The sequence below is a fragment of the Homo sapiens genome, chromosome 2, assembly GCF_000001405.40.
Source record: "Homo sapiens chromosome 2, GRCh38.p14 Primary Assembly".
NCBI lineage: Eukaryota > Metazoa > Chordata > Mammalia > Primates > Hominidae > Homo > Homo sapiens.
The window spans coordinates 171303018-171325060 of NC_000002.12; the positions used below are offsets into that span (position 1 = coordinate 171303018).

The 22043-nt window shown below is 42.7% G+C and overlaps 1 protein-coding gene across 11 annotated transcripts in view, besides 9 other annotated features; it reads right to left on the bottom strand.

The window, feature by feature from the left end:
* Positions 1-12728: 12728 nt before the first annotated feature.
* METTL8 (methyltransferase 8, tRNA N3-cytidine) overlaps positions 12729-22043 on the bottom strand; it is a 119027-nt gene continuing 109712 nt past the window's right edge. For all 11 annotated transcript variants that reach the window (NR_135568.2, NM_001321161.2, NM_001321158.2 and 8 more), the window contains one exon: positions 12729-21345. Coding sequence is in view for 7 of the 11 variants with exons in the window: in NM_001321158.2 (NP_001308087.1) it covers positions 21155-21345 (191 nt within the window). In the remaining 4 variants the exon portion in view is untranslated. The remainder of the gene's footprint in view (positions 21346-22043) is intronic.
* Positions 12843-13665: an enhancer, noted in NCBI's record as "OCT4-NANOG-H3K27ac hESC enhancer chr2:172172370-172173192 (GRCh37/hg19 assembly coordinates)". NCBI's record gives its function as "activates a minimal SCP1, AML or CMV promoter by ChIP-STARR-seq in primed H9 embryonic stem cells {active_cell/tissue: H9 hESC(primed)}" and the evidence as "EXISTENCE:reporter gene assay evidence [ECO:0000049][PMID:30033119]".
* Positions 13742-14036: a silencer, noted in NCBI's record as "tiled region #707; HepG2 Repressive non-DNase unmatched - State 15:Elon, and K562 Repressive non-DNase unmatched - State 23:Low". NCBI's record gives its function as "represses a minimal TATA promoter and a strong SV40 promoter by Sharpr-MPRA in HepG2 and K562 cells {active_cell/tissue: HepG2 | K562}" and the evidence as "EXISTENCE:reporter gene assay evidence [ECO:0000049][PMID:27701403]".
* Positions 14768-14827: an enhancer, noted in NCBI's record as "active region_16746". NCBI's record gives its function as "activates an Ori minimal core promoter by ATAC-STARR-seq in GM12878 lymphoblastoid cells {active_cell/tissue: GM12878}" and the evidence as "EXISTENCE:reporter gene assay evidence [ECO:0000049][PMID:35858748]".
* Positions 15343-15545: a silencer, noted in NCBI's record as "fragment chr2:172174870-172175072 (GRCh37/hg19 assembly coordinates)". NCBI's record gives its function as "represses an EF-1alpha promoter that drives an FKBP-Casp9 reporter gene in an ReSE screen in K562 erythroleukemia cells {active_cell/tissue: K562}" and the evidence as "EXISTENCE:reporter gene assay evidence [ECO:0000049][PMID:32094911]".
* Positions 15555-15654: an enhancer, noted in NCBI's record as "active region_16747". NCBI's record gives its function as "activates an Ori minimal core promoter by ATAC-STARR-seq in GM12878 lymphoblastoid cells {active_cell/tissue: GM12878}" and the evidence as "EXISTENCE:reporter gene assay evidence [ECO:0000049][PMID:35858748]".
* Positions 16133-16955: an enhancer, noted in NCBI's record as "OCT4-NANOG-H3K27ac-H3K4me1 hESC enhancer chr2:172175660-172176482 (GRCh37/hg19 assembly coordinates)". NCBI's record gives its function as "activates a minimal SCP1, AML or CMV promoter by ChIP-STARR-seq in naive and primed H9 embryonic stem cells {active_cell/tissue: H9 hESC(naive and primed)}" and the evidence as "EXISTENCE:reporter gene assay evidence [ECO:0000049][PMID:30033119]".
* Positions 17101-17150: an enhancer, noted in NCBI's record as "active region_16748". NCBI's record gives its function as "activates an Ori minimal core promoter by ATAC-STARR-seq in GM12878 lymphoblastoid cells {active_cell/tissue: GM12878}" and the evidence as "EXISTENCE:reporter gene assay evidence [ECO:0000049][PMID:35858748]".
* Positions 20962-21256: a silencer, noted in NCBI's record as "tiled region #8774; K562 Repressive non-DNase unmatched - State 15:Elon". NCBI's record gives its function as "represses a minimal TATA promoter and a strong SV40 promoter by Sharpr-MPRA in K562 cells {active_cell/tissue: K562}" and the evidence as "EXISTENCE:reporter gene assay evidence [ECO:0000049][PMID:27701403]".
* Positions 21338-21437: an enhancer, noted in NCBI's record as "active region_16749". NCBI's record gives its function as "activates an Ori minimal core promoter by ATAC-STARR-seq in GM12878 lymphoblastoid cells {active_cell/tissue: GM12878}" and the evidence as "EXISTENCE:reporter gene assay evidence [ECO:0000049][PMID:35858748]".

Genomic DNA, 22043 nt, shown 5'->3' on the forward strand with positions numbered 1-22043 from the left:
TTTTTTATGTTTTCAGTAGAGAGGGGGTTTTACCATGTTGGCTAGGCTGGTCTTGAACTCCTGACCTCATGATCCGTCCACCTCGGCCTCCCAAAGTGCTGGGATTACAGGCATGAGCCACCACACCCGGCCAGGACCTCTTTTAATACAACCCAATTTATTTATTTATTTATTTTTTATTTTTATTTTTTGAGACGGAGTTTCGCTCTTGTTGCCCAAGCTGGAGTACAATGGCGCAATCTCGGCTCACCGCAACCTCCTCCTCCCAGGTTCAAGTGATTCTCCTGCCTCAGCCTCCCGAGTAGCTGGGATTACAGGGATGCACCACCATGACTGGCTAATTTTTGTATTTTTAGTAGAGACGGGGTTTCTCCATGTCGGTCAGGCTAGTCTCAAACTCCCGCCCTCAAGTGATCTGTCCACCTCAGCCTCCCAGAGTTCTGGGATTACAGGCTTGAGCCTCTGCGCCTAGCCTATGACCCAAATTTTTAACTTGGTCACTGCTATGGTTGGAATGTTTGTATCCCCCTAATATTCATATGTCGAAATCCTAACCCCTAAAGTGATGGTATTAGAAGGTGGGCTGTTGGGAGGTGATTAGGTCATGAGAACTAAAGGGATTAGTGTCATCATAAAAGAGTCCTGAAGGAGCTCAGTTGTCCCTCAGCCTCCCAAAGTTCTGGGATTATAGGTGTGAGTCACCATATCTGGCCAAATCCTCCAGTGCCTTGATCTTGGATTTCCCAGCCTCCATAACTGTGAGAAATACATTTCTGTTGTTATAGCAACCCAAATGGGCTAAGAGAGTCGCCTCATCTAAACATGAATTACAGTCAACGAAATGCTAAATTGATAGCATGGACTTACCTATATTGCCTCCTACCTCCCAGGTTTGCTGTATGTGACCGCAGTCATGTCATAATAGTCCAGAAGGGCCTGCTGTGAGTGACACTCCCTAGCACCAAGCTTTAGGCTATGCAGTTGGAGGTGACATTTGGATTGAAATAACAGATAAGCTGAAGTCATAGGTAAGAAGATGAGCATGAACTCTGAAGGGAGATTTAAGACCAGAAAATGGGAAATGAGCACTTTGGTCAGAGATCAAGAGGCAGCTAGGTGCAGTGGCTCATGCCTGTAATCCCAGGACTTGAGGAGCCTGAGGCAGGAGGACTGCTCGAGCCTAGGAGTTTGAGATCAGCCTGGGCAACAAAATGAGATCCCATCTCTACCAAAAAAAATTTAAAAATTAGCCAGGTGTGGTGGTATGTGCCTGTAGTCCTTGCCACTCAGGAGGCTGAGGCAGGAGGATTGCTTCTGCCTAGGGATTTGAGGTGGCAGTGAGCTATGATCACACAACTGCACTCCAGCCTGGGAAAAAGAATGAGACTCTGTCTCAAAAAAAAAAAAAAAAAAAAAAAAGTAAGAGGCTGGAGAGACAGAAAAAAATATAGTTCTTAAAATGCCAAACTTGACCCTCAAAGAATGTTGAGGTTTTTCTCCTATGGTGTGCCAGGCACACTAAGAGGGAGGTCATGTGTAACTCCTTTGCTTCAGGCTCTCTCCACTTGTCCATCACCAACCACAAGGAGTAATGGAAGGGCTGAACTTTCCCAGGTTTGCTTGGCAAAGAGTTGTGATGATCCCAGAGCATACTGTGGGGTGGAGTGTTATGAGAAGGTTCTGTGGTGGTGGGAGTCCAGGATGTCTTATAATTAAGTCCTTCCTCTGGGACTGGATGACAAGAGTATATGCACAGTGCCAGGCACAGTCGACATCGGCTGGCCATAGTGAGAAACGGTGGAAAACAGCGTGGTGTATATAAAAAGTGGATGGCGGCCGGGCACGGTGTCTCACGCCTGTAATCCCAGCACTTTGGGAGGCTAAGGCGGGCTGATCACTAGATCAAGAGATCGAGACCATCCTGGCCAACATGGTGAAACCCCGTATCTACTAAAAACACAAAAATTAGCTGGGCATGGTGGCATGCACCTGTAGTCCCAGCTACTCGGGAGGCTGAGGCAGGAGAATCCCTTGAACCCAGGAGGTGGAGGTTGCAGTGAGCCAAGGTCGCACCACTGCACTCCAGCCTGGCAACAGGGTGAGACTCTGTCTCAAAAAACAAAAAACAAACAAACAAAAAAAAAACAAGAAAGAAAGAAAGAAAAAAGTGGATGGCAAGTCCAGGGAGCTAGAAATAGAGGGCAGAAGTTCATAGTTTTGGAAGGCCAGACTGAACACTGGGCTAGCTGCTTTTTTTTTTTTTTCTTTTTTGAGACACAGTCTCGTTCAGTCACCCAGGCTGGAGTGCAGTGGTGGGATCTTGGCTCACTGCAACCTCTGCCTCCCGGGTTCAAGCAATTCTTCTGCCTCAGCCTCCTGAGTAGCTGGGACTACAGGCACGCACCACCATGCCCGGCTAATTTTTGTATTTTTAGTAGAGACGGGGTTTCACCATATTGGACAGGCTGGTCTTGAACTCCTGACCTCGTGATCCGCCTGCCTTGACCTCCCAAAGTGCTGGGATTACAGGCGTGAGCCACTGCACCTGGCCGCTAGCTGCTTTTTTAAAAATTGTGGTAAAATGCACATATAATAAAATTTACCATCTTAACTATTTTTAAGTGCACAATTCAGTGACATTAGTACTTTCACATTGTTGTGCTACCATCAATATTGGGCCCATCAATATCATCCATAGAACCCTTTTCATCTTGCAAAACTAAAACTCTGTACCCATTAAGTGACAATTCCCCATCCCCCTGTCACCCAGCCCTGGTGACCACCATTCTATTTTCCATCTCTATGAATTTGACTATTCCAGGTACCCCATGTAAGTGGAATCATACTATATTTTTCCTTTTGTGATTGGCTTATTTCACTTGGCGTGATGTCCTCAAGGTTCATTCATATTGTAGCATGTGTCAGAATTTCCTTCCTCTTTAAGGCTGAATAATATTCCATTTTATGTATATATCACATTTTGCTTATACATTCATCTGTTGATGGACACTTGGTGCTATTCTTTGAATGTATTCCCCAAGCTCATGGGTTGGAAACTTAATTCCCAATTCAACAGTGTTGAGACCTTTAAGAGGTGAGTAGGTCATGAGGGCTCTCCCCTCATGAATGGATTAAAGCAGTTATCACACGAGTGGGCTCCTGATAAAAGGATTCATTTGACCTCCTTTTCTCCCTCTCATGCTCTCTTGCCATTCCACTTTCCACCATGGAATGGCACAGCAAGAAGGCTCTCACCAGACGTCAAGCATTTGCCAGTACCATGCCCTTGGACTTCCCAGTTTCCAGAACCATGAGCCAAATACATTTCTTTTCTTTATAAATTACCCAGTCTCAGGTATTCCGTTACAGCAACACAAAACGGACTAAGACACTTGGGTTACTTTCACCTTTTGGCTACTGTGAAAAATGCTACTATGAACATGCATGTACAAATATCTCCTCAGGTCCATGCTTTCAATTATTTTGGGTATATGCTAAGAATTGCTGAATCACATGATAATTCTATTTTTAATTTTTTGGGGGCCCACCATACTGTTTTCTATAGCTATTGCACCATTTTACATTCCCATCAACAGTGCACAAGAGTTCCAATTTCTCCATACCTTTGCCAACATTTATTATTTTCTGGGTTTTGGTAGTAGCCATCCTAATGGGTTTGAGGGGGTATCCCATTGTGGTTTTGATTTGCATTTCCCTAATGATTAATGACATTGAGCATTTTTTTATATGCTATTGCCATTTGTATAACATTTTCTGAGAAATGTCTATTCAAGTTCTTTGCCCATTTTAAAATTGAGGGTTTTATTGTTGAGTTGTGAGAGTATTTTTTGTTTTGTTTTGTTTTTTGTTTTGAGACATGATCTCACTCTGTCACCCTGGCTAGAGTGCAGTGGTGCGATCACAGCTCACTGCAGTATTGACCTCCAAGGCCCAAGCGATCCTCCCACACCAGCCTCCTAAGTAGCTGGGACTATAGATGCACACCGCCATGCTCAGCTAATTTTGTTCTTTTTTTTTTTTTTTTTTTTGTAGAGACAGGGGTCTCACTATGTTGCCCAAGCTGGTCTTGAACTCCTGGGCTCCAGCAACCCTCCCACCTCAGCTTCCCAAAGTGCTAGGATTACAGGCATGAGCCACCATGCCCGGTGTAAGAGTTCTTCATATATTCTGGATACTAAACCCTTATCAGATGTATGATTTGCAAACATTTTCTCCCATTGCGTGGGATGCCTTTTACTCTGTTGATGTGTCCTTTAATGCACAGAACTTTTTAATGTTGTTGTAGTCCAACTTTTCTTTTTCTTTTGTTGTCTGTACTTTCGTTGTCATATCCAAGAAATTATTGCCAAACCCAATGTCATGAAGTTTTTCTTCTGTTTTCTTCTAAGAGTTTTATAGTTTTAGGTTCTACATCTAGGTTTTCAATCCATTTTGATTTAATTTTTGTATCTGGCATAAATTTGGGGTCCAATTTCTCTTGCAAGTTGATATCCAGTTTTCCCAATGTTATCTGTTGAAAAAACTGTCCTTTCCCCATTGAATGGTTTTGGCACCCTTATGGAAAATCATTTGACCATATGTGCAGGTATTTATTTCTGGACTCCAAAAGGGCTATTTGTTGAGTTTATGTGAGGATCAGGTGATAACTGTGGTAAAGGTGAGTCAGATCAGGTTCTATGCTTGGATGACCGCTTTGAGTAAATGATGCATAGTGTGAGGCTTTATAGCCGTCTTTGGCCTATTTTGGAGAATCTTACAGATCTCCGGAAAGCAGCTCAGATCTTATCTTAATTGTGACCAGTTGGATGGACTGTGGTGATGCTTAGAGGTGCTGCTAGGTATTGTGAGTAGAAGTCCTACATGCTGTGGCAGGAGGCATTCTGCACAGAGTTATGGGCAGCATTGTTAAAAGCGACCTTGGATGCCAAAGGGTAGATGGTACAAAAGCTATACCTTAAGGACCCATTTCACATGCTTTGTTTGGCTTTTGCCGTATAGCACATGGCTAGATTTGTTCTCTGAGGTTCTTGAAAAGGGTCTAAAAAATGCGGATACCAATTGATATGCTGAGGTTGGCGAAACTATGGTGGCCAAATGGTGATGGTCTGTTGGAGCTAAAGATTTAAGTAGGAGATGCTTACCACATTTCAGACAAATGGGCATCTATCCTGAACTGCAGGAATCTAAAGAGCAGGGGTTCATTTCATCAGCCACCTGCATTTCAGTATTCTCAGTATGCATCACACTTTCTGGCACACAGTAGATGCTTAATAAGCATTTGATTATCTGAATTAAACATAAGCCAAAGAAACAGCAATGACTTTCTTAAATAAGAAAACTCAACTTTTCGGTTAGCAAGTTTCTTAAGGCTAATTTAATTATTTTTAAATAATTATTTAAAAATTATTTATTTTAATTTATTTAATATTTATTTAATATTTAATAATTTATTTATTTAAATAATTATTTAAAAATAATTTTATATTAAATATATTTATATTATATATAAATAATTAAATATTTAAATTATTTATCCTGTAATTATTTATCCTCCTCAAAAGAGACAAAGACTTGTTCACCATCCGTATTAGCCAAGGTTCTCTAGAGAGATAGAACCAATAGGGGAGAGAGAGACAGCGAGAAAGAGAACGAGAGAAAGATAAAGAGAAGAGAGGATTTATTAGGGGAACTGGCTCACAGAATTATGGAGGCTGAGAAGTCCCATGACAGGCCATCTGCAAACAGGAGACCAACGGAAGCCAGTGGCATGGCTCAGTCCAAGTACAAACACTTCGGCACCAGGGAAGCCAATAGTGTAACTCTCAGTCTGAAGGCCTAAAAACCAAAGCAGCTGCTGGTGCAAGTTCCAGAGTCCAAAGGCCAGATAACCTGGAGTCCAAAGGCAGGAGAAGAAGGGGGTGTCCCAGTTCCAGGAGAGAGAGAAAATTCACCTTCCCTCTACCTTATTCTATTCAGGTTGCCCACATTGAGGGCAGATCTTCCCCACTCAATTCACTGACTCACATACCAATCTCCAGAAATAATGCTTTACCAGCTATTCAGGTATCTCTTAATCCAGCCAAGTTGACACCTAAAGTTAACCATCAGGTCATCCTTTGAAAAAAAAAAAAAAAAAATATATATATATATATATATATATATATATTTTATAAATATATAATATACTATTATATATTATATATTAATAATGATATTAATTACCACTTATTAAGTGCCAGTTATCACCAGGCATCATACCTAGCATTTGATGTGCATTATATTTAGTCCTTGCAACAATCTGCAGGTAAGCATTATTTCCATTTGTAGTTCAGTGCATTGAAGCTTGGAGATTTCAAGTGTCTTGCTTAAGGTTACAAAACCAGCAATAGTGAAGTTAGGACTTATATCCAAAATGGGTCCCATGTTTTTGCTCTGAGAACCCTTTTTGCCAGTTTCTACCTGGGCACTGTCATTTTCATCTTCTAGTATGCATTTATTTTAGGGCAAACCCATTTCTTCCCTATAAACAAACCATTAACAATCTTTTCTCTATCTCTGGCCTTTTCCCAAGTTCTCCATGTTCCTTAAATTTGGCATCAGCCCAGCATTGACAATATCATTCGGTGTGACACACACATTCACACATGCGTGTATGCGTTGTAATGTCACCAAAAATGCAACCATCTCCCTTTCCATGTTAAGTCCGCATAGAAACTATTTTGTATCTATTCAAATATTCACAAAAAGTCAAATTTTTTTTTAGAAAGTGAACAAATAAAAGGAACCATAACTACCCGGACCCCTGGTGAGAGCTAGGTGGTGAGATGCTGAAGAGCCATTGACAAGTGCATCTCTGAGCAGACTACTCAGCAAACAGCAAAGGGACAAAGCAGAGTCCACCCCACACTGCTCTAGATTTGGTCTATGTAGCATATGCTTTACCCAGCACTTATAAAAGGTTTAGGTAATTCCCACTCCTGTTCTTTCCTGCCATGTGGAGGGACAGCAACTGATTTAAGACTGCCAGCCTCTTTAATCCCACCCTCCTCCTTCCTGGGAGAGGTGGAGTGATTTATGTAATCAGTGAATATGGGCGGTTACTTAGGCTTGTTTAATCCAGCTCTTCTTTGCTCTTTCTGTTGGATGAAAGTGTGCTGCAATAGGCCTCAAAGGGGCAGGGCCCCCTGTGTAGAGTCTTTGGCTGTCTAGCTGTGAGTCCTGATTCTAGGGTTCAGTATTAGGAAGACACTAATTACTTGTACCCAAAGCCAATTCTTTCCAATACAGCTTCATCAGTAATTGAGCTGACTTTTTTTTTTTTTTTTTTGAGACACAGTTTTGTTCTGTTGCCTAGGCTGGAGTCCAATGGCGCGATCTTGGCTTACAGCAACCTCCACCTCCCGGGTTCAAGCGATTCTCCTGCCTCAGCCTTCCAAGTAGCTGGGATTACAGGTGCCCACCACCACGCCCAGCTGATTTTTGTACTTTTAGTAGACACGGGGTTTCGCCATGTTACCCAGGCTGGTTTCAAACTCCTGATCTCAGGTGATCCACCCGCCTCAGCCTCCCAAAGTGCTGGGATTACAGGCGTGAGTCACTGCGCCCAGGCTGAGCTGACATTTTAATCTTCATTTATTGACACCTTAATCTCTCTGATTGGTTTAAAACTTGGGCAGAGAACATAGGGATATTATTTATTGGGTTTCTCTCAAACCTCATTGGATGGCTGTGATTCCACATTGTGGTCTTGTCTAGCAGACTATTCTGGCCTGTATTCTTTGCTTGCCCTCTGTTTATTTCCTCAGAGGGGGACAGTAAATCTTGAATCACTTGGTGACTCTGTTATACTGATACCTAGCCAGTTCCCTTAGTTCCCTTACACAAGGTAGGAGTCAGGCCTTTCTCCTTCACTGAGGAATGAGGATGATCTTCTGGTTGGCCAATGTCTCCTTCCCCTTTACATCTCTGGGTATATTTCTCCTAAATCTGTGCTGCATCTTTCCACATTTACGAAGCATCAACAAACTCGTGGTTTGTGATGTCATGGTAGAAAACAAACATAAAAGTCCAAGGGCTCTGGAATCAAACAAAGAATCAGGTAAAGGTGAGTCACTGCTCTTCAAACCAGTGTCAAGAAAAAGTGTTTAATGTAGGGAAGTTTAAACTTTCCCTCTGAAGGTTCAATAAGTGAATTATCCCACTGAAATAAACTGACATTACACAAATTAATAGGAGAAAAGCAAACAAATTTATTAACTTGCATAAGCATGGAGCCATGTAAAATATGAGACTCAAGGAAGGGCCAGATGGAGCTTACATAGTTCCCTCTTCACAGAAGAGAGGGAGATGGGGGAATACAGGCTATTTTGAGGGATAATAATATGGTTTGGCTGTGTCCCCACCCAAATCTCACCTTGAGTTGTAATAATCCCCATGTGTCAAGGGCTGGGCCAGGTGGAGATAATTGAATCATGGGGGCAGTTTCCCCCATACTGTTCTGGTGGTAGTGATTAAGTCTCATGAGATCTGATGGTTTTATAAATAGGAGTTCCCCTGCACAAGCTCTCTTGCCTGCCTCCATGTAAGATGTGACTTTGCTCCCCATTTGCCTTCAGTCATGACTGTGAAGCCTCTCCAGCCAGGTGGAACTGTGAGTCAATCAAACCTCTTTCCTTTATAAATTACCCAGTCTCAGGTATGTCTTTATTAGTAGCACGAGCACAGACTAATACAGTAAATTGGTACCAGGAGTGGGGTGCTGCTGTAAAGATACCCAAAAATGTGGAAGCAACTTTGGAAATGGGTAACAGGCAGAGGCTGGAACAGTTTGGAGGGCTCAGAAGAAGACAGGAAAATGTGGGAAAGTTTGGAACCTCCTAGAGACTTGTTGAATGGCTTTGACCAAAATGCTGATAGTGACAGGGACAATAAAGTCCAGGCTGAGGTGGTCTCCGATGGAGATAAGGAACATATTGGGAACTGGAATAAAGATCACTCTTGCTACGCAAAGAGTCCAGTGGCATTTTGTCCCTGCCCTAGAGGTCTGTGGAACTTTGAACTTGAGAGAGAGGATTTATAGTATCAGGTGGAAGAAATTTCTAAGTGGCAAAGCGTCAAGAGGAAGCAGAGCATAAAAGTTTGGAAAATTTACAGCCTGACAATGTGATAGAAAAGAAAACCCCATTTTCTGGGGAGAAATTCAAGCCAGCTGCAGAAATTTGCATAAGTAATAAGGAGCCAAACGTTAATCACCAAGACAATGGGGAAAATGTCCCCAGGGCATGTTAGAGACCTTTGCGGCAGCCCCTCCCATCATAGGCCCAGCAGCCTAGGAGGGAAAAATGGTTTCTTGGGCTGGGTCCAGGGACCCCCTGCTGTGTGCAGCCTTGGGATTTGGTGCCCTGCATCCCAGCTGGTCCAGCCGTGGCTAGCAGGGGCCAAGGTACAGCTGGGGCCATGGCTTCAGGAGGTGCAAGCCCCAAGCCTTTGCAGCATCCACATGGTGTTAAGCCTGCAGGTGCACAGAAGCCAAGAACTGAGGTCTGGGAACCTCTGCCTAGATTTCAGAGGATGTATGGACACACCTGGATGTCCAGGCAGAGGTGTGCTGCAGGGGCAGAGCCCTCATGGAGAACCTCTGCTAGGGCAGTGCAGAAGGGAAATGTGGAGTGGGAGCCCCCACACAGAGTCCCTACTGGGACACTGCCTAGTGGAGCTGGGAGAAGAGGACCACCATCCTCCAGACCCCAGAATGATAGATCCACCAACAGCTTGCACTGTGCGCCTGGAAAAGCCACAGACACTCAACACCAGCCCGTGAAAACAACTGGGAGAGAGGCTGTACCCTGCAAAGCCACAGGGGCAGAGCTGCTCAAGACCATGGGAACCTACCCCTTCCATCAGGATGACTTGAATGTGAGATATGGAGTTAAAGGAGATCATTTCGCAGCTTTAAGATTTGACTGCCACATTGGATTTTAGACTTGCATGGGGCCTGTAGCCCCTATGTTTTGGCCAATTTCTCCCATTTGGAATGGGTATATTTACTCAATGCCTGTACCCCTCATTGTATCTAGAAAATAACTAACTAGCCAGGCGCGGTGGCTCACGCCTGTAATCCCAGCACTTTGGGAGGCAGAGGCGGGTGGATCACCTAAGATCAGGAGTTCGAGACCAGCCTGATCAACATGGAGAAACCCTGTCTCTACTAAAAAAATACAAAATTAGCCAGGTGTGGTGGTGCATGCCTGTAATCTCAGCTACTCGGGAGGCTGAGACAGGAGAATTGCTTGAACCTGGGAGGCGGAGGTTGTGGTGAGCCGAGATCACGCCATTGCACTCCAGCCTGGCCAACAGAGCAAGACTCCATCTCAAAAAAAAGAAAAAAAAGAAAATAACTAACTTGCAGGCCGGGTGCAGTGGCTCACGCCTGTAATCCCAACACTTTGGGAGGCCGAGGTGGGCGGATCACCTGAGGTCAGGAGTTTGAGACTAGCCTGGCCAACATGGTGAAACCCTGTCTCTACTAAAAATATAAAAATTAGCCGAGCATGGTGGCAGGTGCCTGTAATCCCAGCTACTCGGGAGGCTGAGGCTGGAGAATTGCTTGAACCCGGGAGGTAGAGGTTCAAATTCCTGACCTCGGGTGATCCGCCCGCCTCTGCCTTGCAAAATGCTGGGATTGTAGGTGTGACAGACCATGTCTGGCCGGGTATGTCTTTATTAGCAGTGTGAGAACAAACTAACACAGGCAGTGAATGATTTTTAGGAGAACTGAGTGGACCCAAAGAGCAGAGAGTAGTTTGTAAATGATTCTCTTTGAAAACTGAATGGGACCAGAGAACAGATAATGGCCGGGACAAAGTTTTTTGTGCTCTGTGAGAGGTGGCAACAAATTTTAGGAAGGCAAGAGGCAGAACTTCATTGTAAACAAAGGTTGTCTTATTATGTGGATAAGGTCTCCCAGGTAACCTCTTCGAACTGCCCTCAGAAAAACAGATGAAAAGTCGGTCTGGGCTAGGTGACTTTTAATCTCTTATGGTAGTTAATCTTCCCTGGTTATTGAATGAGATTTCCTAGGGAGGCGGTTTTAGGCCAACAGCATTTCTTTTGGAAGAAGTCTACTCAGTCAGATAAGGAAACTTCCACAGAGAACCCCTTCCTGTGCTTGATGTGGGGTGGAGAAACCAAGAGTACTTGTTTTTTGTTTTTTTTTTGAGATGGAGTTTCACTCTTGTTGCCCAGGCTGGAGTGCAATGGCGTGATCTCGACTCACTGCAACCTCTACCTCCTGGGTTCAAGCAATTCTCCTGCCTCAGCCTCCTGAGTAGCTGGCATCACAGGCATGCGCCACCACACCTGGCTAATTTTGCATTTTTAGTAGAGATGGGATTTCTACATGTTGGTCAGGCTGGTCTCGAAGTCCTGACCTCAAGTGATCTGCCCAACTCGCCTCCCAAAGTGCTGGGATTACAGGCATGAGCCACCACGCCTGGCCGACTCCTTGGTTCTGAGGCAGCTTTGATGGCCTTTTAATTTCCTTTAGTTCAGTGTGCTCAGCATGCTGAAGCACCATCATTTGGACCATTGTTTTCTGCACCCTAATACTTTTAGTAGCCATTTCTGTGCTACAAAAACACCTGAAATGGTGTTTCAGGTAAGCAGAAAAAAGCTCCTGGCCTCTAGCTTTCCTATTTCCAAAGCTCAGCTAGGGCTCTTTCTTGGGTTCTTTCTCTGAGCTCAGGCAGGGGATAGTTAAGCCTACAGTTCAGTTCTCTGAGATTCAGTCATAAGTCACTCTTGCTACAATCTTCTGTGATTTTGCATTTTTCTTTGGGTCACTGAAGCAGTATTTACCTAATGTGCCTGTGAACACTGTCCACTTTCCATAAGGTCACAGTGCTGCTGGCTTCTGCTGGTAGCCTTCCCTGCAGGTGACTGCTCCTGACTGAGCTTTAGGGGAATGACCAACTCTGGATTCCTCATCACCAGTGACAGAGTGTGCTTCCTCAATTGGACCTTGTCTATGCCAATAGCTTAGTCTTTGTCTGTACCACCATGAATATGGTATTTGTTGTTCTGGTTTTTTTTTTTTTTGTTTTTTTTTTGAGATGGAGTTTCGTTCTTGTTGCCCAGGCTGGAGTGTGGTGGCATGACCTCGGCTCACTGCAACCTCTGCCTCCTGGGTTCAAGCGATTCTCTTGCCTCAGCCTCCTGAGTAGCTGGGATTACAGGTGCACGCCACCATGCCCAGCTAATTTCCTTGCACAATTAGAGATGGGTTTCACCATGTTGTCCATGCTGGGCTCGAACTCCTGACCTCAGGTGATCCACCCGCCTCGGCCTCCCAAAGTGTTGAGATTACAGGCGTGAGCCACTGCGCCTGGCCGAATATGGTATTTGATTTGACATTTTATATTACAGATTAAGTCCTTAAGAAAGACAACACTCATCCCTGATGTACTGAAGATCTTTGTTTTGTCAGTCAGTGCTTTCTACTTTCATTCTACTTATCATTCAACTTTCTTAGGTTAACTATCTTCTAATGTAAAAAAAAATGCATTAATATATAAAAGTATAGGCTTCAAGTTTAGAAAGCCTGTCTCTTCGGAAAGTTACTGACCTCATAGCAAACTATGAATAAATTCCCCAAAGTAGGATGAACAGAGCAATTTATATCCATATATAAACATAATTATACTATACAGTTACATAACTAGAATAAAATTTAATGTAAATGTGCCAAAGAGGAGAAGAAATCACAGAAGATTTACAAAACTTACATGAAATAAGAAAATGTTCAACTATGTAATAACCAAAGCTTCCTTAACTTGGGAATCTTGGGAACCTAGAAAGTGAGGTAACCCAAGCCAAATTCCTCTGGTGTCACAGTTCCTCCTATACCAGGCCAGGCACTTGCCAATGACACTGGAGTAGGGGTAAGCCCTGGGTGTGTTGTGTAGTGTGTGACGTAGTAGGTGAAAAACAGCAAAGAGGTAATTCTTTATTCTCGAGAGCTTCCTCGTGCACATGATCAGCTTTTGCACATGCTTGGAGGAAAAACAACACTATTAAAATGTCTTTTTAAAAGTCAAAGCTAAATGAGTATGCAATAAAGCTTTGAGAAATGGAAAAGAAAATCTATGAGGAAAACGTCAGCTTGCTTATCCAGGGAATGAGCAGGACTTAATTCTCATGCCGGCATGGGGCTGCCGGGCACCCAGCTCCTTTCCTGTGGGTAGAAAACAAGTCCCCAAGTTGCTACTGAGCCAAACTGTAAAGGCCAGTCAGGAAATGAGCAGCAGTGCTGAATGGGGAAGCCTGGATCCATGGTTTTTTCCTAAAGTAAACAAAAGATCTGCAAAAGTATTTCCTTGCACTATTTGGCAAGAGAAAGAAGCACCTGGAGAGTGAGTTAGGGAGAGAAAGCATGGAAGAAATGTGAGTAAAACAAGGAAGATTATAATGAAGCTTTGTCTCACTAATCTCCAGAGCCCAGGTGTTCTATTAAGAAACAAAGCTGCAAATGAAGAGACATCTCAGAGAGTGGTGGATTAAGAATATATTCATGGAAAGGATAGATCTTCCTTGCTTTTTGGGATCCTGAATTTCATCTTTCATTTGGATTAAAAAGAAACTTAAAAAATATCTTGTAGAAAGTCAAAGTAAAGATATAAATATTAAAATAAATGAGGGCTGCGAAAGAAAAAGTATGAGCAATGAGAAAAGCAATTATCCTTGGAGGCAGAAATTTCTTTCTTGTTTCAATGCAGCATGTGATACTGGCAATTTCAGCCATTCTCTTTCAGGCAATTTTCAGTGCGAGTGCCAAATGCTGCTTAGGGGGATATGTCTCTGCTCACCTGAGGGAGCAGGGCACAACTAAAGATGTAAGGAGAGCGATCGCATTCTTTACGCCAAGCATTCTGTTTAGCAGGACTGCCTCAGGAGGAACACAAGTTGCTCTCAGGAGGCAGAAGGTGAGAGAAATGAGGCAGCAATTACATAGTGTTGCTTGTGCTAAGTACAGAGCATTAAAAACAAAAAACAAAAAAGCCCCACTAATGCAGTGGACTCAGCAGCGGGCTCATTGCTAATTTTAGGAAGTCACACAGGTTTAGTGCTTGCTTCCAGCGGAAAAGCCTTAAAAGCCCAAAGGGTGACTGTCCTCCAGTGTTTTTTGAAACAACCAACACTTGATATATAAAGGTTAACTGAGGAAAAAATTAATTTCTGCGTTTTCTGCAATGAACTAGGAGCAATGGATTGAAAATATTTGGCCAAATAATTTTTATAAGCATAACAAAATTCCATTTTTCTGGACCAAACCTCATCAGCCCAACTAGGAAAGACGATGCTGGAGCTTTAGGAGGCAATCAAAGGCTCATTTTATTTGATAGGTAACATCTGATACAGAAGCATTTCCCGCCCTGGGCCCTGGATCTACTCAGTGCCTACCTGCTGGAGAAAATCAAAGATAAAGACCCAGATCACTGGGATGCCAAGGACACAGCTAGCTGGACACTATTTGAAGTCTATGTGCTCAAGTATTGCTTTTTTTCCCTCTTTATGTAACGTTAACGTGTATTTATTCATTCAGCTAACTCTAGCTGTTCCTTACTTAAGGTTAAGTGGTTGTGAAACCACAGACACTGTAGAATCAGAAGCTGTTGTTTTAAACTCTTGGCCAAGTAGCAGTGCCTTGTAGCTTGCCTTTGCCGAGCTCCAGGGGCAGCTGAGGGTGGGCTGTCTGACCATCTGGAGATTTCAGTGTGCTCCATCCATCTCATGCCAACCTGACTTGCCAGAATTAGGGTCACTGTGCTCTGAGACACTTTGAGATGATGCTCAAGGGAGCTGTGCTCTGCAGCCTCCTGGGTCCCTTCTGCAGGTGCACTTGCTTTTTCAATCTGATGCTATTTTTCTTACCCTCTGTAGGCACTCACACGCAGAACTATTATTACTTGCTTGTTACTGCATGTTGCTGATTCATACTCATAGGAAAAAGTAATTTTATCTTCAACACCTCTTCCTTGTCATTTAAGACATATGTTAATGAAAGACAGATTTTGGCATCCACTTTTCTCTGTAGCTTTGAGGCCACAATATAGATTCATTATAAATGAAGATGCAACTGTTATTTTACTTCTATTTATATTTATAACTACACCAAAGCCATCTTGCGGGTACCTTTGCGCCTCTCAAATCCCCAACCATATTCCAAGAAACCGTATTCCAAGAAATGCTCAACATTTCATGCCTGAATTGGTATTAATGTGGCATTAATGTACATACAATGTTTTAAATAACGATGTTTTCACTCATATTTTATTATGGACACCTCCTGATTTCACATATTTTACATTACCCTAGAGCTGAATCCTTTTGAAGACATTTTAAGGGTTTTTTTTCCCCACTGCAGTACAGAATGCTTTTTTTCTTTAAGCGAGGAGTATGCAAGTGAGAGTGCTCTGCGAGGAGGGATGCCAAGTGGAAGGCTGAAGCCTGAGGGGGTGGGGCGAGTGCAGAACTAGGCAGAAGCAGAATGCTGAAAAGAACTGATTGAAAGCTTTTTGCTTTGTCATTCCTCTCAGTTCCTTTCCTTCTCTTCTTTTCCAATTTGTAATTGTGGACAAGTGTAACCTACTTATTTGCTAGAATGATTGGATCTAGAATGAGCCATAACCTTGAAGGTCGTCTGAAACAAACTCCTCTCCACTGCTATCGTTTTCTGCTTGACTCAGAAAGCTCTTTCTTCCCTGGTGCCTTTCCCAGCAGCATTTGGGCCCATCCATTACAAGAGCAGCAAGTAGAGGTTTTGGAATCAGAGAGTTCTGGGTCCGAGTTGTGACTCTGCTACTTACTAGATGTGGTATCCTGAGCAAGTTACCCAACATCTCTTCTGTAAATGGTTATCATCAAAATGAATTCCTAGGAGTTTGAGGATTAAATAATGTGTATAGTATACACAAAATCTAGCATTCAGAGCTAAATTAAGAGTAGCTAAGCAGTTCAATAGGAACTAGGACCCATGCTTCCTGTTTGACTCTGAGGCAACACTTTTTTCCATGGAAAGATACTGTCTTTCTTACAATGTCTCATAAAACCTTTGAAAAAGTCACTGTTGCTGGAATACTGTGTGTACTGCCTTGTAGATTAATAACAATACCTCACATATATTTAATGCTCTAGAATTGACAATGCACTTTCACAAGCGGGGAAAATACCCACGCCAACACTAAGTCTCCTGATGACTAACAGAGGCAGGAAGCAGGAGGAGCAGAGGCTTTGAAAGAGGTCGATTAGTGATGCAAATGTGAAGTTATCTGCACTTGTGAGGAGCATAACAAACATCAAAACCAATTAGAAGTAACAATGTGTGATCTATTCAGGCTTCAGGACTTTGATGAGTTGGAAGTTTTGGGGTTTAACAATCCAGATGGTTCTGATAGCTTTAAGTTTTGCCTCCAAGAGGGCAGCTATCTGCATATGGGTGAATTTTCACGTACAAGCTAGAGTACAGCAACGACTTAGAATCACACACGGGTAGAAACCGGGACGTGTTCACAATTTGTAGACAAAGCATATGGAATCGAGAGAGGCAAAGCAAATAAGTTCTCAGAAGTCAATGTTAAATGGGTGTTTCAATACAGGCAAATGTGTCATACCGAATGCAAAACTTTTAATAATAGAAACTGTTATCTTGACTTTCTCACAACCTTCGGAAACAGTTCCTCATGTGTGAGAATTTTTACATTTGGACGATGCTCAAAAGTGAATTTTTAGAAATGGAGAAAAAAATGAAGGGTGCATTTAAACAATATATTCCATTGTTTCTGTACTGTAAGAAGATGAAAGAATATACCTTTTACTCCTGGAAAGAAAATGGTCCTTTTGAAATTCAGCTCTCTCAGAAGATGAATTTTTAAATATCAAACTCTGCCTAACCAACTGGTCCTAGCTTTATGGATGTGAGGGGTAAATTAGAATTTCATGCAGTTATCAAATATTTTAAACTAATACCCAAGCAGTTACATTTGCAACGCTTCATGATTTCTTAACATCTATAGACAAAATTCCAAATAGGTCTTTCCCTTTTCTTTCTGTGCCAAAATCTACATTTCTATCTAGCAGCAAACCCCGAGAAGGAAGTTGTTGTAGGTAGGTTAAGAGACAGAAAGACTGACCAGGCAAGCAGAAGACACTGGTGGAAATGGCCCTGCTGCGCAGCCATGTGGAATAGGAAGGCTATGCTGGACAGAGCCCAAAAGAGACCAGTTTGTGTCTCACAGTCCAAATTTGGTTGATGTATTTTTGAAGCTTCTAAAGGTTAACTCACATGCTGTAATACATTATAGAAAGACACGAAGCCGAATTTTACTGTGCCAGTCAAGAGGCTGGCTTGAATCCGCTATTTAGAACTGAGAGAGACAGTACAATTTACATGTGTGAGAATGTGAGAATAATTTTACCTTCTGTTGTTTTTGAAACCACCTTGGGCCATGATTTTTAAACGGAGACACAAGGAGATCTGCTGGGGTTCCCATAGCAACATTAACTTATCTAAACTGCCCTTGCTGTATGTAATACTTTCATGACTAGTTTGGCTTTTTAATGTACACTTTAATTATGAAATACAACTGAGTTAAGAGTCTTGGGCAAATTTTAATGTTTATATTTACTGACTTATGCATGTTTAAACAGAAAGCTTGATAATTGTACTTTTGAGGACTTGCCATCAAGGCAAGTTTGTGCAAAAACCTTTATGTGGTCTTCCTTGCCACTGATCTCTGACCTCACTCCATTCCATTCTATAGACAACTCCTCAACCTCTCTCAATACATTTATAAGACACCATATCTCAAACTGATCTCAGATGGCTCCAGTTCAGAGACTAGAAGTCATACACCTGCTAGTCTAGGTTATCTACAAGCTGACCCCCTTCCCATCTTTTCTACCTATCCCTCATCATTAATGTCCCACACCACACTTGTCTTCTCACCATCTGCTGAGAATGTACATTCAAGAACTAGCCTGAGACCTACCTCCCCCAAGAAACCTGATTCTTCTCCATTCTTTTTCAGAGCTAATCTCTCTCTCTCTCTCTGGAAATACTATTACTACTGCTACCACTGCTATATGATGTGTTGGCTGTGACTGGACAGCATCCCTCCCCTGGTGTTTTTTGACAGCAGTGTCTTGATTTTCCTTTGAAGAACTTTCTTCCATTCCAGGAAGTGAAATTTCCTTCCACTCCAGGTTGGAGTGCAGTGGTGCGATCTCAGCTCACTGCAACCTCTGCCTCCCAGGCTCAAAAGATCCTCCCAGCTCAGCCTCCTGAGTAGCTGGGACAACAGGTGCGTGCCACCATCACTGGCTAATTTTTGTATTTTTGGTAGAGATAGGGTTTTTCCCATGTTGCCCATTCTGGTGGCATCATCAATTAAGCTGCCCTGCCCCAGCCTGTTAAGAGATGAACCAATGACTAAAGCTGGACCAATGATATTCTTCTAGAAATTGGATTTTAAGTGAATTCAGAAAGAAAAAACAGTTGGAACTTAATTATTCCAATGATGGTTCTTTCAAGAGAGTATTTATTTATTCTAGGTTCTGTGGTTCATAATCAAAGTCTGCTAGCTGGTAAGTTCCCTATTTGAGTGTTTGTATATTGTCTTAGATCATGATTTACAGGTTTGGGATATGCACATTTTGTTTTGCCAGCTGTACTCTATTTATGCTCCCTGAAGAGCATAAACAAGGCTGGGTCTTTATTGTTCATATTATTCCACTGAATTTAGCACTCAATATGTAAGTAGTCAATAAATATTATGTAATGAGTATGAGACTAATCTTAAAAACTTCATTTCTACAAAATGTGATTTGCAAGCCAACTTATGTCCTTTTTGAAGCAAGGGAGTAAATAAATTTTTTTTTTTTTTTTTGATACGCAGTCTAACAACTGTCACCCAGGCTGGAGGGCAGTGGTGTCATCTCGGCTCACTGCAACCTCTGCCTCCCGGGTTCAAGTGATTCTCCTGCCTCAGCCTCCCGAGTAGCTGGGATTACAGGTGCCCACCACCACGCCTGGCTAATTTTTTTTGTATTTTTAGTAGAGACAGGGTTTCACAGTGTTGGTCAGGCTGGTCTTGAACTCCTGACCTCATGATCCGCCTCCTCGGCCTCCCAAAGTGCTGGGATTACGGGCTTGAGCGACTGCGCCCGGCCCTCGAGGGGATAAATACATTTTTAACTGCCACAATTTAAGAATTCTCTTGGGTATGACAGTTGTCTTAAACAGAGCTTACCACTGATACCAGAAAGGGTCTGGATCCAGACGCCAAGAGAGGATTCTTGGATCTTGTGCAAGAAAGAATTGAGTCCATACAGCAAAGTGAAAACAAGTTTAAGTAAAGAATAGGCTGGGCGCGGTGGCTCACACCTGTAATCCCAGCACTTTGGGAGGCCGAGGCGGGCGGATCACAAGGTCAGGAGATTGAGACCATCCTGGCTAACATGGTGAAACCCCGTCTCTACTAAAAATACAAAAAAAAAAAAAATTAGCTGGGCATGGTGGTGGGTGCTTGTAGTCCCAGCTACTCAGGAGGCTGAAGCAAGAGAATGGCGTGAACCCGGGAGGTGGAGCTGGCAGTGAGCTGAGATCACGCCACTGCACTCCAGCCTGGGTGCCAGAGCAAGACTCCATCTCAAAAAAAAAAAAAAAAAAAAAGTAAAACATAAAGAATGGCTACTCCATAGGCAGAGCAGCCCCAAGGGCTACTGGTTGCCCATTTTTAAGGTTATTTCTTGATTATATGCTACACAAGGGGTGGATTATTCAGGCCTCCCCTTTGTAGACCATATGGGTAACTTCCTGATGTTGCCATGGCATTTGTAAACTATCATGGCACTGGTGGGAGTGTAGCAGTGAGGACAGCCAGAGGACACTCTCATTGCCATCTTGGTTTTGGTGGCATTTGGCCGGCTTCTTCACTGCAACCTGTTTTATCAGCAAGGTCTGTATGACCTGTATCTTGTACTGACTTCCTATCTCATCCTGTGACTAAGAATGTCTTAACCTCCTGGGATTGCAGCCTAGTAGGTCTCAGCTTCATTTTACACAGTCCCTATTCAAGATGAAGTTGCTCTGGTTCAAAAGCCCTTGATACAAGAGCTTGTCAGCTTACATACCTTTTTTTTTTTTTTTTTTTTTTTTGGAGACAAGGTCTCACCATGTCACCCAGTTTGGAGCGCAGTGGTACAATCTCAGCTCACTGCAACCTCCGCCTCCGAGGCTCAAGCGATCCTCCCACCTCAGTCTCCTGAGTAGCTGGGACCACAGGTGTGTGCCACCATGCCTGGCTAATTTTTGTATTCTTGGGAGAGACAGGGTTTTGCCATGTTGTCCAGGCTGGTCTTGAACTCCTGAGCTCAACCGATCTGCCTGCCTCAGCCCCCCAAAGTGCTGGGATTACAGGTGCGAGCCATTGCACCTGGCCTAACAACTTGTATATCTAAGAATAGCCTGAAAATAATGTCAGCATGGGCTGTACTTCCCCAATTTTAGGAAAGGAAAGAGGAACTAAAATTCTATTTCAGATATGAGCCTCTGAATTTCAAAAAAAAATTGGGAGAAAATAGACAACAACAAGACAAAAAATAATACACTTTGACCTTGGGCTTGTTGTAGCTTTCCCTGGAAATAAGGTGTGCTTTCTCTCTGCAATCAGATGACAATGGGAAGAGTCTGACTGTGTTTGGGAACTGGTTTACTAAGCCTAAACAAATAAACAATTTTTTTTACTTGCAAAAAATGTCAAGTTACATTTTCTCAAAATTACTTGACATAATACTAACTTAATTGAATGCTTATAAAAATCAAGGAACAAGCAAAATGGTTAGATGTAATAAATTCAAACAAGCTTGAGCATATCAAGTTTTCAAAGCACAGAAAAAGGCATACTGTGCTGAACCACTTACATGTGCTTAAAATGCACAAAGGAGCTCACCTATGACAAAACGGCAGGAAATACAAATTCTCTTCTTTTTTTCTCATTGTCTTTTGAGAAACAATAGACTTACAGTAGTCCTTGAATAGCACAGTCCTCTGGCTTTGTACCTTAACATGTTACAAAGTTCAGTCTTGTGAAAGGAGTGTAGATACCATATTGGAGCTATTCTGAGTCTGGTGCAATGGTTTCTGGAATTTGCCTTGAATCCACACTCGGTGCATTTTCACTTGTTTTTTCCTATTAACTTGTAAGCGGCGATCAACCAGATTTTGCTTTTCATCTAAACTGGCTTTGCAGAACATACTGTGGACTTCCCCTGTGAGACAAAAATGGCAATAAAAGATATGACATGTGACTAGAGATGGGGGAGGTCAGGAGTAGAACACTGATGGAATAACTGACCATCTAAATTTCATTTATACAAGAAACACTCTCTAGAACAATTTGGTGAAGGAAACCTGTGAAACCAAGCGAGTTTCTTCTATTTCACAAAAATACACCATGCATATAAAAATACACCTGTTTACAGACTAACACGGCAGACATCAACAGATATATAAAACTATTGGTTGCAGCTTTCAATATTTTGAAAGGTGCTCCCTTTCTGAGTTTTTGTTGGTTTACAGAAACCCAAAACGGCAGATTATAAAAGTACTCACATAAATTTGGGGAAATCCTTGAATGCAGCATTCACTTGGTACTGTTAGAAATGCATTTTTAAAAATGTGAAATTGGTTGGGCATGGTGGCTCACGCCTGTAATCCCAGCACTTTTGGAGGCTGAAGCAGGCAAATCACCTGAGGTCAGGAGTTCAAGACCAGCCTGGCCAGGGTGAATCACTTGAGGTCAGGAGTTTGAGACCAGCCTGGTCAAATGGTGAAACCCCTTCTCTAATAAAAATACAAAAATTACCTAGGCGTGGAGGTAGGTAATCTCAGCTACTTGGGAGGCTGTAATCCCAGCTACTTGGGAGGCTGAGGTGGGAGAATCGTTTGAACCGGCGAGGTGGAGATG